We start from the raw sequence: 14,442 nt of genomic DNA, 5'->3' as shown, positions 1-14,442 counted from the left end.
CAGTGCGTCCGCTTTGTCTCTCTGCACTCCCCGCAGCCCCCCTCTCCCGCTTCCTCTCCCGATTAACTCCCCCGACACGCTCTTCTCTAGCTCCTCTCCTCCTCCCACTCCTTCTCCTCCTCTTCCTCCTCCTACACCACAGGCCGCGCTAATGCGCTTCCTCCCTCCCCCGGTGTCGGTCTCTTTGCATACGCGCCCCCTCCCCTCCCCGCCGCGCCACTTATAGCGGGGCGCACGGCGGCGGGGCGCAGACTGCTCTGGCAGCCGGAGAGGAGGCGGTGCGGCGGTGGCGCTGCGGAGACCCGGTCCAGACGCCTGGCGGCCGCCGGCACACAAGGCGCTTTCTAGCTCCCTCCCCCGAGCGCACAGCCCGCCTCCTTCCGCGGCGCCTGCAGTGGCAGGCTTGCTCTGCCCTACCGTGACGCGCTCCGGAGACGCTCTGCGGGTCCTGGACACCGGGTCCGCGGCGTGGGGACGACAGACGGAGGCGAACGCCATCGGTAGCCGGTCCGCGAGCCATCGTTCGGGGCGCAGTCCTCTCCCCGGCTGGCCCTCCTTTCTCCGGGGCATTCGCCACCGCTTCCCTGGGCTGAGACGACCGGTTCGTCGCCTCCTTGCCCGTGACCGTCGCTAGAACTCAGTTGTGCGTTGCGGCCAGTCGCCACTGCTGTAAGTTTCCCCCACTGCCCCGGACCTGTTGCAGGCGCTGCGGGCTTCAGGGGCTGCTTCGGCTGCAGGGGTGTGTTCGCGAGGGGTGAGCGTGCTCCGAGCACTCGGGAGCTTCGACTAGAGGGCAAGGGGAGCTCTTCTCGGTGCGGAGATCACGGTGCCCGCCGCTGCCCTCCCACAGCAGGCAGAAGCCGGGCATCGCCGGAGAGGTCGACCGGCCTCCCCTCCGCGGTGCAATGTCTGGGGCGAGCCGCTGGGGAAGCGAGGAGCCGAGCTAAGGATACAGTCAGCCTCTCTCCTCTGCGGAAAGCAGCGCTTTCCTGGGGGTGAATGTCGCGCTGCGTCGCTCCCCGCAGCCTCCAGGGCCGAGCGCGCGGGATGGTTGGCCCACGTTGCATCCTCCCCGGCTTGGAGGAAAGTTGGGGCCATGCACAGACACCCTGAGTGCGGGCATGTTCACTGCGGCGGAAATGTCTATAGAGAATGAATGAAAACTGCTTTCTGAAAAACTAGTTTCTTGATCTGTCGTGTTAACATTATTAGTTACAAAGGATAGGAATTGGTGGGCCTGGAGATGAAACACTGAATTTATCCACATGCGGTTTGGTGTCACACAGGCATGGCCAGCTTGTTAAATAGCGTTGCAAGTGTTAATAAAAAGACTCTGGCAAGAAGCTACTTTTGTTAACAAGATCTTTATAATGTTCTATTGTTACCGGTAATGTAAATGCCCAGAAAAAAATCTGCTTAGTTTCTCTTTTGATTGGATTGAGATCAGGTTCAAAACCTGGAGAAGGGTGCGGGACGCTAAGCATTGGAGGCAGAGAGCCTGAGTTAGGAGCATGAAGTGAACTGAAGTTACTGTAACTGAAGCCCTTTTGATGTTCACAGTAATAGCAGCCCTTTCTCTGTCTTCTTTGCAGACGTAGGTTAAGTACATGTGTGCATTTTCTTGGCCACTTACTTGGTATGCAAATGTGATTTCTCTGGGGGCTTAAAAATGCTCGAAAGATGATTCATTTTATGTTGAAGGTGTGTTCAGTGACTTGTATACATGGTTTCTGCTGATATTTTGAGGTTTGCACAGTTTTAAACCAGAAAGCAAGTATTTCCTCTTGGGTTTCCAAGTTTACTTTTTATTTTAATCAAACATTGTTGCAAGAATGTTGATTGTGATTTTGACTGTGACGTGCTTTTCCATCTGGGTGGTATCCAAGATGACAGGCTAGGCTCTTCCTTCTGGCTTGTTGGGCCAACCTGGAACATACAGGAGCATAAACACAGGATGCGGAGAGATGTAGATCCTATATCCTAAGGTCTTCTAAGCAAATTGTTTTCTTAGGTGTAAGTCTGGTTGTGAATGTTGTTTTGCACCATCCTGAATTTAATGTTCAAGGAAATGTGTTCTGGGCCTAGCATGATTCCAGCTCAATGTGTAAGCATTTTGGTGCCTGTGCACCTAGTTTCAGGGAGCCTCATTCTTCCTTCACTCAGGGCAGCATTTGCTCTGAGAGAGGCGGCAGATTCACAAGAGTAAGTAGACAGTCTATTGAGGTTTAGGTTTAAAGTCTTCCTCCAGATACTCCAGATTGAATGTACTAATTAAAATAGCAACTACAGTGGTGGAGCATTGAGAATGCTAATGAATGTTTTAACCCTTTGGAAACCTGATGCATTCCCATAGGTTCATATGGTCATTCTCCAAAACACTGGGCATTGGTTAGAATGGAGTAGACAGTAGATGCTTAGCTTGAGGTGGGAGTGAAGCTGGCTCCTCACCATTTTTTATATCTCAAGTCACTGTGGAAATTACTGGGTGCTTTGTAAAGTCTTCCTAACACTGGAGCTCTAGGACTTTGTTGCTTCCTTTCTTCCACTCAGCCATGTTTACTCATCATAAAAAATTATATTCCAAAAAGGAAAGAAAACTAGTTGCATCACCTAATGGTATGAGGTATATGTGTCATGCCCCTGCCTTTGTGGTTTTCTGTGCAGTCTTATAGTGGGGCTCACATCTGGTTGGGGAGGTGCAGGTTAGTATTTTAGCCCATGAATCTGTGGCAAATCATTCATTTGCATTTATTAATAATTCTTAGAATATGCATTTAAAAATGTCTGAATGGTTAAAGGAAACAGAGTTTCAGCTGCGCTTTTGGGACTGGCTGTTATGTGTCTGGAACAGATACTGCAACCAGCCACACAGTTTACCCTCTGGGGATAAACAGCGGGATAAACAGCTTCCTTAGGAATCCTTGGACAGGCAGGTTCTTGAGGACTTCATTCCTTTGAAGTAACAGAGGGATGGTGTAAAAGAAAAGGATGAAGGCATGTGATTCAGTTTTTGAAGATGGGTGACAAGCATTTCCTATGTCTCTACCCTACTGTTTTCTTACTGAAGAAAACCAAAAGATAGCATTAGATTCTACTATAATTTCAATGTAGATACCAAGGAAAGCACTGTAGTCAGCAAATAAATTCTGGGGTGGCCCTAAATTAACAACAGCTGGCAAAATACACACACACACACACACACACACACACACACACACACGTATTTTTTGATTTAAATAAAGCAGTGTTTGCATTTTGAACTCCTTCTATGCAGGTGTCAGCATTTGCAGGTATACAGGAACAGTCCTAGTGATGCACTATTTAATCAAAAGACGGATGGATCTTTTGTTCTTGCAGCTGGTTTTCCAAGAATTGATATAAAGCGGGAAGAACAGAAAACAGCAGTCATAAGTATGCTACTCAAAATATTCTTCTTTTTATGTGCCAAATCCTCACATTGGAAGCTGTCCCGAGCAAGACAGGTAGTTGGTGATTATGGCCAGAATTTATTCTGTGCTTTGACTAAAGGCTTGCTGATCAATATATGGTTAATGTTGAAATTGGGGTGCTTTTAGGACTCTTCAGTGGTAGAGCTGTCTGGTTAGAAATTAATCTTTAAGTTGGGATGCCGAGGTGGGAGGATCAGGTGAGGCCAGGAGTTTGAGACCCGGTCTCTACAAAAAATACAAAAAATTATCTGGGTTTGGTGGTGCACACCTTTAGTGCCAGCTACTCGGAAGGCCAAGGCAGGAGGATCACTTAAGTCCAGGAGTTCGAGGCTGCAGTGAACTGTGATTGCACCACTGCACTCAAGCCAGGGTGACAGAGCGAGACTTGGTCTCAAAAGTATATATAAAATGAAATACATTATCTGTAACATTTAAATAAAGGTCTGATCATTGCAGAAGTTGGCCTTACATTTCCCATTTACTGTATGTGCTGGGAGATTGGATCTTACCAAAGGAATTCTTAATGGAATTAATTATTAGGTGTTTGTTTTACGCATGGCTTTATGTTGCATGGGGCATGAAAGCCAGTGCCCATCCTGGCATTATAAGAGCAGGAGACCTGGCATTTTAAGTGGCCCGCAGTGAATGAGCTGGACTAGGACAGGGAGCTGTGGGAATGAGACTCACTCCTCTTGGCTTTTGCTGACTTATATTCTAAAAGACTTCGATGGCCTGAAAGTTGGCAATCAGGTTTTCCAAGATGAACCTGCTTTTTATGCAGTGATTTTTTTTTTTTTTTTAAACAGTGCAGAGTTCAAATAGCTCAACAGTATTAGCAGTGAATATCCTTCCTTCCGGGTAGTTGTCTCTGGCTTTGTCCTGGAATGGCCATACACTATTCTAGAATAGTAGGTGGCATGGTCAACAACAAAGTGTTCTGTTTTTTGTGCAAAACCATTGTTGCTTTCGTTCTGCTGTTCTGAACATCAGGAGCATCATTTTCAATTTATTATTATTATTATTTTTAGGAGTGGAAACAAAATGTCAGTCAGTGTGCATGAGAACCGCAAGTCCAGGGCCAGCAGCGGCTCCATTAACATCTATCTGTTTCACAAGTCCTCCTACGCTGACAGCGTCCTCACTCACCTGAATCTTTTACGCCAGCAGCGTCTCTTCACTGACGTCCTTCTCCATGCCGGAAATAGGACCTTCCCTTGCCACCGGGCAGTGCTGGCTGCATGCAGTCGCTACTTTGAGGCCATGTTCAGTGGTGGCCTGAAAGAGAGCCAGGACAGTGAGGTCAACTTTGACAATTCCATCCACCCAGAAGTCTTGGAGCTGCTGCTTGACTATGCGTACTCCTCCCGGGTCATCATCAATGAAGAAAATGCAGAATCGCTCCTGGAAGCTGGTGACATGCTGGAGTTTCAAGACATCCGGGATGCATGTGCAGAGTTCCTGGAAAAGAACCTGCATCCCACCAACTGCCTGGGCATGCTGCTGCTGTCTGATGCACACCAGTGCACCAAGCTGTACGAACTATCTTGGAGAATGTGTCTCAGCAACTTCCAAACCATCAGGAAGAATGAAGATTTCCTCCAGCTGCCCCAGGACATGGTAGTGCAACTCTTGTCCAGTGAAGAGCTGGAGACAGAGGATGAAAGGCTTGTGTACGAGTCTGCAATTAACTGGATCAGCTATGACCTGAAGAAGCGCTATTGCTACCTCCCAGAACTGTTGCAGACAGTAAGGCTGGCACTTCTGCCAGCCATCTATCTCATGGAGAATGTGGCCATGGAGGAACTCATCACCAAGCAGAGAAAGAGTAAGGAAATTGTGGAAGAGGCCATCAGGTGCAAACTGAAAATCCTGCAGAATGACGGTGTGGTAACCAGCCTCTGTGCCCGACCTCGGAAAACTGGCCATGCCCTCTTCCTTCTGGGAGGACAGACTTTCATGTGTGACAAGTTGTATCTGGTAGACCAGAAGGCCAAAGAAATCATTCCCAAGGCTGACATTCCCAGCCCAAGAAAAGAGTTTAGTGCATGTGCGATTGGCTGCAAAGTGTACATTACTGGGGGGCGGGGGTCTGAAAATGGGGTCTCAAAAGATGTCTGGGTTTATGATACCCTGCACGAGGAGTGGTCCAAGGCTGCCCCCATGCTGGTGGCCAGGTTTGGCCATGGCTCTGCTGAACTGAAGCACTGCCTGTATGTGGTTGGGGGGCACACGGCCGCAACTGGCTGCCTCCCGGCCTCCCCCTCAGTCTCTCTAAAGCAGGTAGAACATTATGACCCCACAATCAACAAATGGACCATGGTGGCCCCACTCCGAGAAGGCGTTAGCAACGCCGCAGTAGTGAGTGCCAAACTTAAGTTATTTGCTTTCGGAGGTACCAGTGTCAGTCATGACAAGCTCCCCAAAGTTCAGTGTTACGATCAGTGTGAAAACAGGTGGACTGTACCGGCCACCTGTCCCCAGCCCTGGCGTTACACAGCAGCAGCTGTGCTGGGGAACCAGATTTTTATTATGGGGGGTGATACAGAATTCTCTGCCTGCTCTGCTTATAAATTCAACAGTGAGACTTACCAGTGGACCAAGGTGGGAGATGTGACAGCAAAGCGCATGAGCTGCCATGCTGTGGCCTCTGGAAACAAACTCTACGTGGTTGGAGGATACTTTGGCATTCAGCGATGCAAGACTTTGGACTGCTACGATCCAACATTAGACGTGTGGAACAGCATCACCACTGTCCCGTACTCGCTGATTCCTACTGCATTTGTCAGCACCTGGAAACATCTGCCTTCTTAAATGCAGTACATTCTAAAGAGAGTGAGCATGAGGTAAGAAGTTTAGCTATAGATGTAAGTATGCATATAATTAGGCTATTGTGTAAGTTCAGTACATGGGGTGAGATCTGATCCACAGAGACTGTACTGCAGAAGTACTACCAAAGCTGTAAAAATAAGAGAGCTGGTGCCCCTAGAACTTATCCACTTGTGTTGACCACAGCCTCAGCCCCCACCATGGCATTAGCCAGTGGTTCTCAGCTTTTACTGAGCCTCAGAATCTCCTGAAGAGCTTTTTATTTATTTTATTATTATTATTATTATTTGAGACAGAGTCTCGCTCTGTCACCCAGGCTAGAGTGCAGTGGCATGATCTTGGCTCACTGCAAGCTCCGCCTCCTGGGTTCACACCATTCTCCTGCCTCAGCCTCCCGAATAGCTGGGATACAGGCGCCCACCACCAGGCCTAGCTAATTTTTTGTATTTTTAGTAGAGACGGGGTTTCACCATGTTGGCCAGGATGGTCTTGATCTCCTGACCTCATGATCCGCCCGCCTCGGCCTCACAAAGTGCTGGGATTACAGGCATAAGCCACCGCACCCGGCCCTGAAGAGCTTTTTTAAAAACTGCCCATCCCAGAGACTTAGTTTCATTTGGTCTGGGGTGGGGTCCAAGCATCAGTATTTTTAAAAAGTTTCCGGATGATTCCAATGAACAACCAAGTTGAGAACCCCTGACCTCTGTTAAGTATGCCAGCTAATGTTTATTGAGCCCTCACTGTGTGCTTGCAGCGGTGCCACGTGTTTCCCACGGATCATCTCATTCTATCCTCACAACAACCCCGTGGGGAATTATTACTAGCTTCATTTTATAGATGAAAAAACCTTCATGCATTACGGAGGCTAAGCTGCCCGAGTTAGCAGAGCTTAGTAAGAGGTGGAGCTGGTTAGGAAGTCAATGCAGGGGGTCTGGCTCTAGGGCATCAGCACTGGAGCATCGTGTTGCACTGCCACCGAATAAACTTGAGCTTCACATCCATGACACCAATGTCATCCCAGGTGATACTTCATTTATATTCAAATTTTGCTTCCTCAAACCCTTTGTAGAATGATTAGGGTTTAAAAATGTATTGCTCAAATTCATTCCTAGTTTATTCTCTCCAAAATTATTAGCTTATTTTAAATGTTTTACTTAAAAAGTAGCCCCCTTTAAGGCGTTTATTACCTTTAAAGATAAATCTATATCTGTCTTTGTAAAAGGTTGCATGTACATAGCAGAAATTTGTGCAGATAACACAGAGCCACCTAAACTTCCCAAACTATGGCCTTTCAGAGTTAATCAGTCAGGCCGACCCTATTGTCAAGGCTAACAAAAGTTGTGTTTCTGAGTCATATATCTGAGTACATAATAGTTGTCTGTGTATTTAAGAGTATAGAATACTCTTGGCTCAAATAATTAATAGGCCTACACAGTTCAGAGTTCGCAAAGCTCACGGCTGCTTTGCTGCTAAGCATTCTTAGGATTGGCCCCAGGAATCGCTTAGGCATGTGTAAGTATAGCCCAGCGCACACAGGATGTGTTGACTTGTTTTGGTGATTCATGGGCTTATTACTAATAATAAGAGAAGAAAGTAACTGCTTTGGAGGAACTACAATGAAAACAAACTCATTTACTTGGGAACTTTTGGCTCTGTTTTCCCTAGTATGTTTCACACCTTTGAAGGGGACTTCAAAGGGAGAAAAGGAGATCTAGGCCTAGTGGCAAGCTAAGCACAGAGGGGTTTCATCTCATTGGTCTTTTCTTTCCCTGTCCCTTACAGCTCATTTAGAAACATCATTAAACTTGGCCTCACTCTCACATTTCAGCTTGCCATTTTATTTTCTTTTTGAGACAGAGTCTTATTCTATTTCCCAGGCTGGGGTGCAATGGTGCTATCTCAGCTCGCTGCAACCTCCGCCTCCTGGGTTCAAGGGATTCTCCTGCCTCAGCCTTCCAAGTAGCTGGGATTACAGTGCCCGCCACCACGTCGGGCTTTTTTGTATTTTTAGTAGAGATGGGGTTTCACCATGTTGGTAAAGCTGGTCTTGAACTCCTGACCTCAAGTGATCCACCCATCTCAGCCTCCCAAAGTGCTGGGATTACAGGCGTGAGCCACCGCACTTGGCCTCCAGCTTGCTATTTTTTTTACTTCTTCAGTTATCTCTTCCAGCCTTCGTACAGTTATCAGAGTTCTGAGTTATGTCATGCTTTCCTGGAATGAAACTCCTTCAAAGCAGCAGGAACAATCAGACACCTCCTCTGGGGAGCAACTGGGCTAATAGTGTCTCACACCAAACTGGTTTTTTGTAGCCTTGCTGGCATCTCAGTAATCTTGAATAAACAAATGCTCTGAAAGTGGTTATTTCATTTGAGATATGAATGCATGACTCACCTCTAAAGCAGGTTTAAAGAACCTCCTAGGCGAAAGCATCAATTAACAGCACACTTAGTTGGGTGTTAGTCCAGAACTGACTATATTTGCACAGAAGAGCCATAAAAATTGCTACCAGGGTGGTGGTACATAAAAAATGACAATGGGCAGGCTGGCTGGAATCCTTGGAACAAGGTAAGGAAATTGAGGCAGAAAGAGGAGAGAAGCCACATGTGTATTCTGGCCCTAGTTTTAAGTTCTAGACCTTCCTGAGTTTTAGGTTGCTTCTCTGTCAAATGAGTGGTTTGATCTTTAATCTCCTGTGATCTGTCCCAACTCAGACTTGGGTCAATTGATAGGGGAGTTAAAAGAGGCGAAAATACCTAGCCCAGTGCTTGACGTGTAGTAACTTACTGTGAGATAATGGCAGTGGAATTAGCTTTCTGTGTGGTAGGAAAATGAGGTTTCTTTGACTATTATCTGCTTGTTATCTTTAGACTTCACTTTTGGTTCCTCCTTTTTCAGCCCAGAGTGAACATGTTGGCAAACACTTGACTTCACCCTACCCTGGGTGTTTGAACTGAATCATACCCTTCCGGTCGCTGGGAAACAGAGCAAGTAAAGTGTTAAGTTATATGTGAAATAACATCCTCTTCACCCTTGGCGCTACCAGTGAGAGAGTCAAGCACATGAAAACTAAATTTGACAGGGCCAAGTTTGCTGCTTTTAAAGGGCAGCGTAAGCGCCTGATCAAAGCCACTCTTTGAATTTCCGACAGGGAGAATGTTGGTTAAAATTTCTAAAGTTTACTACACAAGATAGTGCTAAAACATTTAAGAGGGGGTTGGAGTGCCTTAAAGTGCTGGGTAGGTGGGTCTCAGTCCCAAACTGCAAATTCCTCTGCCCTCCAAATGTAGGTGCTAACGGAATTAATAGAGTGTTTAACAGAAAGTTTCCCTAGGTCTTAAAGCTCATCCACCTAGGAGGTTTTATCTGCCTCCTGCTGCTCTGCCAGTGGGTGGGAAGGGCAGAAAGGAAATTACTTTGATTATCCTCTGTTTTCATGGTGCCGTGTGGCCTCAACCTAACTTAGGCTTTGATTTGCTTTGTTTCTTCTCTAGATTTTGTTGTTGTTGTTGTTGTTGTGTGTCCTTTTTTTTTTTATTATCGTTCCTGTTTGAATATGCAATTTTTTGGGGGGAGGGTGTGTGTATTCCTTTTTTCCTGTTTGAATATGCATTGTCTTGAAATTTTATATTATTATAAGATACATTCTTTTGGCCTAATGTTGACATATAGGTTACAAGGAGGTGGAGGTGGGGCAATGACACCGTAGTCTAAGGCATGCCTTGAAAGCTTGAATCACTGTTAGGAAACAGCCAAAAGAAACAACTCATGAAATGAATCAGGCTTCTGAACACACAAAAGCAAAGAATTCAGTGCAAGGTCATGAGTGGCTCCTCCAGAATTCCCTTTGTCTGTACTTAGACTTACAGCAATAGGGATACAAAAGCCCTCTGCACAATTTCCCCAGATGAAATGAGAAATAAATAAATGGGAAGAGTAAGCAGTGTGAGGAAATGCAAGCTCTATGAAATGTGCAGGCTTTGTGGTTACGGCACTTTGAATTGATATTCACACTTGATGTACGTAGATTCTGTAGCACTGGCATGCCGTAGCTGCTGGCACCTACGTGTGGACTGACGAACTTTGAGAATAAACTCCAAACTTGGGCTGTTGAGGCCTGATACATTGTCATGTGAAAGGAAGCGAGACTGATTTCTGCCATAATGGATAACAGAGATGCATTTAAATAAGAGGATTAGTATGTCTGCCTCCTAGATGGTAAAGTTAATTTGGAATCTTTCATGGTACATGGGCCAAGGAGGGTTTGCACAGGAATCTCCCTTCTTTTCACCCCTTAGTGATCACTTTACAGTCGCTCTGTTTAACCACAGAAAGAAATTTTATGAATGTTGGAAGCAGAAGATGGCAACTCCTAATAGCATCTAGACATATAGGTTTGGATTTGAAAGTGTGTATGCTTAGGAAAGAAGTGAAGGTCCTTCTTTAGACACCACTGTTTTTGTCAGGCCAGCCATCTGCATGGATGTGTACGTGCACACGTGTGTGCATTTAAGGCAAGTACTTTAAATATCTTTGCACAGTTCCTACTGAACATGTAAGACCTTTGGAAGCAATATTGTCCAGCTCCATACCAAGTTTAATTTAAAAAAAAATTTTGTGGCTAATAAGAAAAATTTAAAAACTATGGCATCACACAAATCCTTCATGCTTTTTTGTTTTGTTTTTTTTCCTTTTCCTTCTATTTCAGCTCACTCCATCACTCGATGAGATAATATGAGATTTCTACTTCGGAGAGGCCAAGTCTAATGAAGAGAAAAAAAGGAAAAGAAGTTGCAAGACTCGAATAAAATCTGCTGCACCTTGTAAATGCTCTAACTGGACATGAAGGAAAGGGGCGAGGGAGGGGGGTGGGATTTTTGGTGCAAGTAGCACATGGTTTAAATATGAATGAACAAACCTGTGATCTAGTCCTTGTCTTGTAATTGTGGATTAATGTCAATGTTAATCAGCCCCTCAAAGGGAGAGAAAAGCTGGACCTTTTCCCTTGCTGTACCATATTCAGCATTTGATTTCCATGGGCCCCACCATTTATGTGTAGAATTTGAAATGGTTGTCACCTCTCTCTGAGGACAGAGCTTGAAGCCTCCACACCAGCTGCTGCTGGAGATTCAAAGCCCAACTGTGGGTCCGAGAGGGAAGCTGGCTGGGCTGGCTGAAGAATGAAGACCACTGGACTCTCCGTTAATCTCTAAGGGGTCTGCTCCCCAGGAACGTTTCTGAACAATGGGGACTTTGTTGGTAGCCATTTGGTAGATGTTCTTTTCTATTTATAAGTGACTTTAAACTTTCCCTTGGCTGTTAAGAAGTTTGTTATAGATTTAGCTATTTATTGTTCGATGCCTGCATGCTGAAACAATGCCTACAGCTGTCTTCACATGTATGGACGTGTGTGAATGGTTGTACGTTTTGCACATTTTGTGGCTGTTGAGATGTGCTTTGCTGCACAAACATGAAAATTTTTGAGTTACAATTTGGAGCATAACTGGAGGGTGGGTTGGGGAGGGGTGGATTTTTAAAATGTCAAGACAGGGAAGGATGACAAAATGGAAATTTAAATGACATCCTAGAGGTAGAGAAACCGTGGAGATCGCTTTTCTCAGACTCACCAACTTTTAATGGGATTTCATGGGGTTTGGTTGTGCTGATAGGGTAAGGGGAGGCTGCTTTCTGCCCTTCTCCCCACTCCCATCTGATTTACTTAATTCAGTCTCAGCTGCTGAAATTTGGAAAGGACCAAATTGCTTTACAGTTTTTTTCTTTGTGTAGTATCTTGAAATCCTGGAAAATTCTATGGAATAGTTCTGTATATAGGGCACAAGTAAAGGCATTGTCCAAAGTTTATTTATTTATTTATTACCCTAAGAATGCTTTGCCATAACCACATTTAATGGGAAAAACGGCAGTATCACAGATGTAAATTAACTCACCAGATTTACTGGGCCTGAACTCATTCTCTTCTTGCTATATGATTTAGCAAGTTCTAGAAGGTCTCCAAGACAATAATTACATTGGCACAATGTATACTTCAGTGCTCACCCGTAGGCAAATCTCTTTTTAAAAAACTCTTTGGTGCACAAGTAACACATTTGGCCACAAAACACCAAAGAATTGTAGGCAGTGGCCCCTATTGAGAAGTTTTCCGGTAGAGTTGGAAATCAGTTGTGAATACATTCTTTGCTAGTTGGAGTGCTTGTTTACTAAGCATGTGCCGTCGTAGGTATTAGTGCTAGTCTCAGATAGGTGCTTCCCCTGAGGTGCAGGGGAAGACCAAAGTTTGCAACTCGAACTGCTTTCGTCCATGTTTCTCACATTGCTGTATTTTAGAAAATAGGGGTTAAGACTGATAACAACCTTTTACATTGTGACTGTGTTTGCATTGTCTAATGACAGATAAATCCTTAACATTTCTCTCCACCTTAGTACTTTAGACTAATTGTGTTTGTCCGTCCATGCCATGAATGAGTGGGCTGTAGTTGGGCCTAAATAAATGAGCTGTTGGAAGAAAAGAATCACAGTACTTTCCAGCAGTCAGTCCCTGGTTCCTAGATGTGTTCTAAGCAATGCAAATGTCTAATTGTCCCCCAGTGGGCATAGTCAGTGTCGTTTATATTGTAGCAGTTACAGCTCTGTAGTTTATGATGCAAATCTGCCAAGAGAGATGTATGTGTCACTGCATGGCTTCTGAAAGCAGGATGAATTTTCTGCAGCTGTTTCAAAGTTGGGGTCTGTTCTTGAATCCTCTATTAATTACTGTGTGTGAGCCAGAGGGAGCTGTGGTAAGGGTTGGGCCCCCAGCCTGTAGGGAACTTTCTGGACTCCCACTCTTTGAATCGATATAGGCATTTGGTCTCACTACTTGACCATTCTCACCCTGTGAAACGTCCCACACTTTGAAGCAAATACAATTCACAGCACAGTACACACAAAAACCTTGGCATAAGACAGAGAAGGTTCTTCTTATTTTGTGGGCTGGTTGCTGTAGAAACACATAACAAAGGGCAGCCCTCCACTTCTGGTATAATTGTGTAGCCCCTTTTCTTTGGGCTTGACACCTGTCTTGAATAAGAGTGATTAGAGCTGCATAATGTCCCTCTCTTGGCTATTGACCATGTGGTTCACGTACAAAACTCTGTATAAGTTGAAGGAAAATGTTCATGTTCATATGTACTTGTTTGCTATGACTACATTTTGAGGTTTTGTAAAACTGTTATTTTTTTTTTTTTCACAATGTGAAACTGAAGGTCAATAAATTATTAGAGATTTTCTCTTCATTATGTGTGTGGGTCTTCATTTGAATAAGACACAATTTGAGGCATTGTAAACGTGTGCCTTTTCTCGTTTATCCAAAGAAGGATCATTTCAGATATTCCGAACGTGTTTTATTTCACCATTTAGTGATATTTACAAAGGTAATTTTGCATATTAAATAAAACTTCCTGACCATTAGAGTATCTCTTTAAGCAAGACAAAATTCCTCATTTATGGGTTATTCATAGCTGGGAATATAACAAGTCACACACCATGCGATATTAAGACAGCATACTTTATATTGGAATGAATTTAGTTTTTTGAAATCCTCACGTGGGTTATATTTTGACAGAAAGCTGTTAGAGAAGGAGCTGGAGTTCAATCCTCTTTTCATCTGCTGACATCTGCTTTAGAAATCATTTAAAGTGGAAATATATGCATATTATTTCTGTACTGCCACAGAAAAGCACAAGTTTAACCCCTCAGGGATACTTAGTTTGTTCCAAGCTGATGGCTGTCCTAGCTGGCTCTGCATAAGGCCAGTTGAAGCCTCCTGCCCCTACCTCATGATGGCTTCATGTCACACTGAGATGCTCCTTTATCACTTGGGTTGGAACCCTTATTGTTTCAGTGTGCAGAGCAAGGTTGGGCATAACCTTTTCTGGGTAGAAAATAAATATTACCTAATTGGGAACTCTAGGAGAGCTCACAAGTAGGCATAATGCAATTACAGCCTTTGGACTTTGACCAAGATGCCAGAGCAGATGCCTTGGGTTTGACAGGAGGATCATTCGGTTCTGTGCTGTGTGAGGCTGGTCTAGAGCCAAGCCTTTGGGGACCAGTGTCAGCCTTCAGATTCCAAGTGCATGATGTTGAAGACCCGTGGAAACCCTGTTGA

The 14,442-nt window shown here is 44.9% G+C and overlaps 2 protein-coding genes across 8 annotated transcripts in view, besides 3 other annotated features; one reads left to right on the top strand and one right to left on the bottom strand.

Moving 5' to 3' along the window:
- The window catches only part of HEXB (hexosaminidase subunit beta), an 81,266-nt gene extending 80,313 nt beyond the window's left edge, over positions 1-953 (bottom strand). Inside the window, exon 1 of the mRNA NM_001292004.2 lies at positions 418-953. The gene's annotated coding sequence lies outside the window, so the exon portion shown is untranslated. The remainder of the gene's footprint in view (positions 1-417) is intronic.
- Positions 140-399: a silencer, noted in NCBI's record as "silent region_16094". NCBI's record gives its function as "represses an Ori minimal core promoter by ATAC-STARR-seq in GM12878 lymphoblastoid cells {active_cell/tissue: GM12878}" and the evidence as "EXISTENCE:reporter gene assay evidence [ECO:0000049][PMID:35858748]".
- ENC1 (ectodermal-neural cortex 1) lies at positions 248-13,567 on the top strand. Of its 7 annotated transcripts, none has more exons than XM_011543697.4 (4): positions 248-669; positions 3,358-3,411; positions 4,478-6,292; positions 10,984-13,567. In XM_011543697.4, the coding sequence occupies exon 3, from the start codon at positions 4,491-4,493 to the stop codon at positions 6,258-6,260; it is 1,770 nt and encodes a 589-aa protein (XP_011541999.1). In that variant the 5' UTR covers positions 248-669; positions 3,358-3,411; positions 4,478-4,490; the 3' UTR covers positions 6,261-6,292; positions 10,984-13,567. The 7 variants fall into 7 exon arrangements, 6 of the variants coding, with proteins under 6 accessions (XP_011541999.1, NP_001243504.1, NP_001243503.1 ...); NM_001256575.2 differs by having other exon boundaries at positions 3,358-3,482; NM_001256574.2 differs by having other exon boundaries at positions 3,275-3,411.
- Positions 440-799: an enhancer, noted in NCBI's record as "active region_22670". NCBI's record gives its function as "activates an Ori minimal core promoter by ATAC-STARR-seq in GM12878 lymphoblastoid cells {active_cell/tissue: GM12878}" and the evidence as "EXISTENCE:reporter gene assay evidence [ECO:0000049][PMID:35858748]".
- Positions 9,254-10,067: an enhancer, noted in NCBI's record as "NANOG-H3K4me1 hESC enhancer chr5:73926734-73927547 (GRCh37/hg19 assembly coordinates)". NCBI's record gives its function as "activates a minimal SCP1, AML or CMV promoter by ChIP-STARR-seq in naive H9 embryonic stem cells {active_cell/tissue: H9 hESC(naive)}" and the evidence as "EXISTENCE:reporter gene assay evidence [ECO:0000049][PMID:30033119]".
- Positions 13,568-14,442: the final 875 nt, after the last annotated feature.

The sequence above is a fragment of the Homo sapiens genome, chromosome 5, assembly GCF_000001405.40.
Source record: "Homo sapiens chromosome 5, GRCh38.p14 Primary Assembly".
Lineage (NCBI taxonomy): Eukaryota > Metazoa > Chordata > Mammalia > Primates > Hominidae > Homo > Homo sapiens.
The sequence above is the reverse complement of the archived record's forward strand: the minus strand, read 5'-3'. Positions and strand labels throughout refer to the sequence as shown.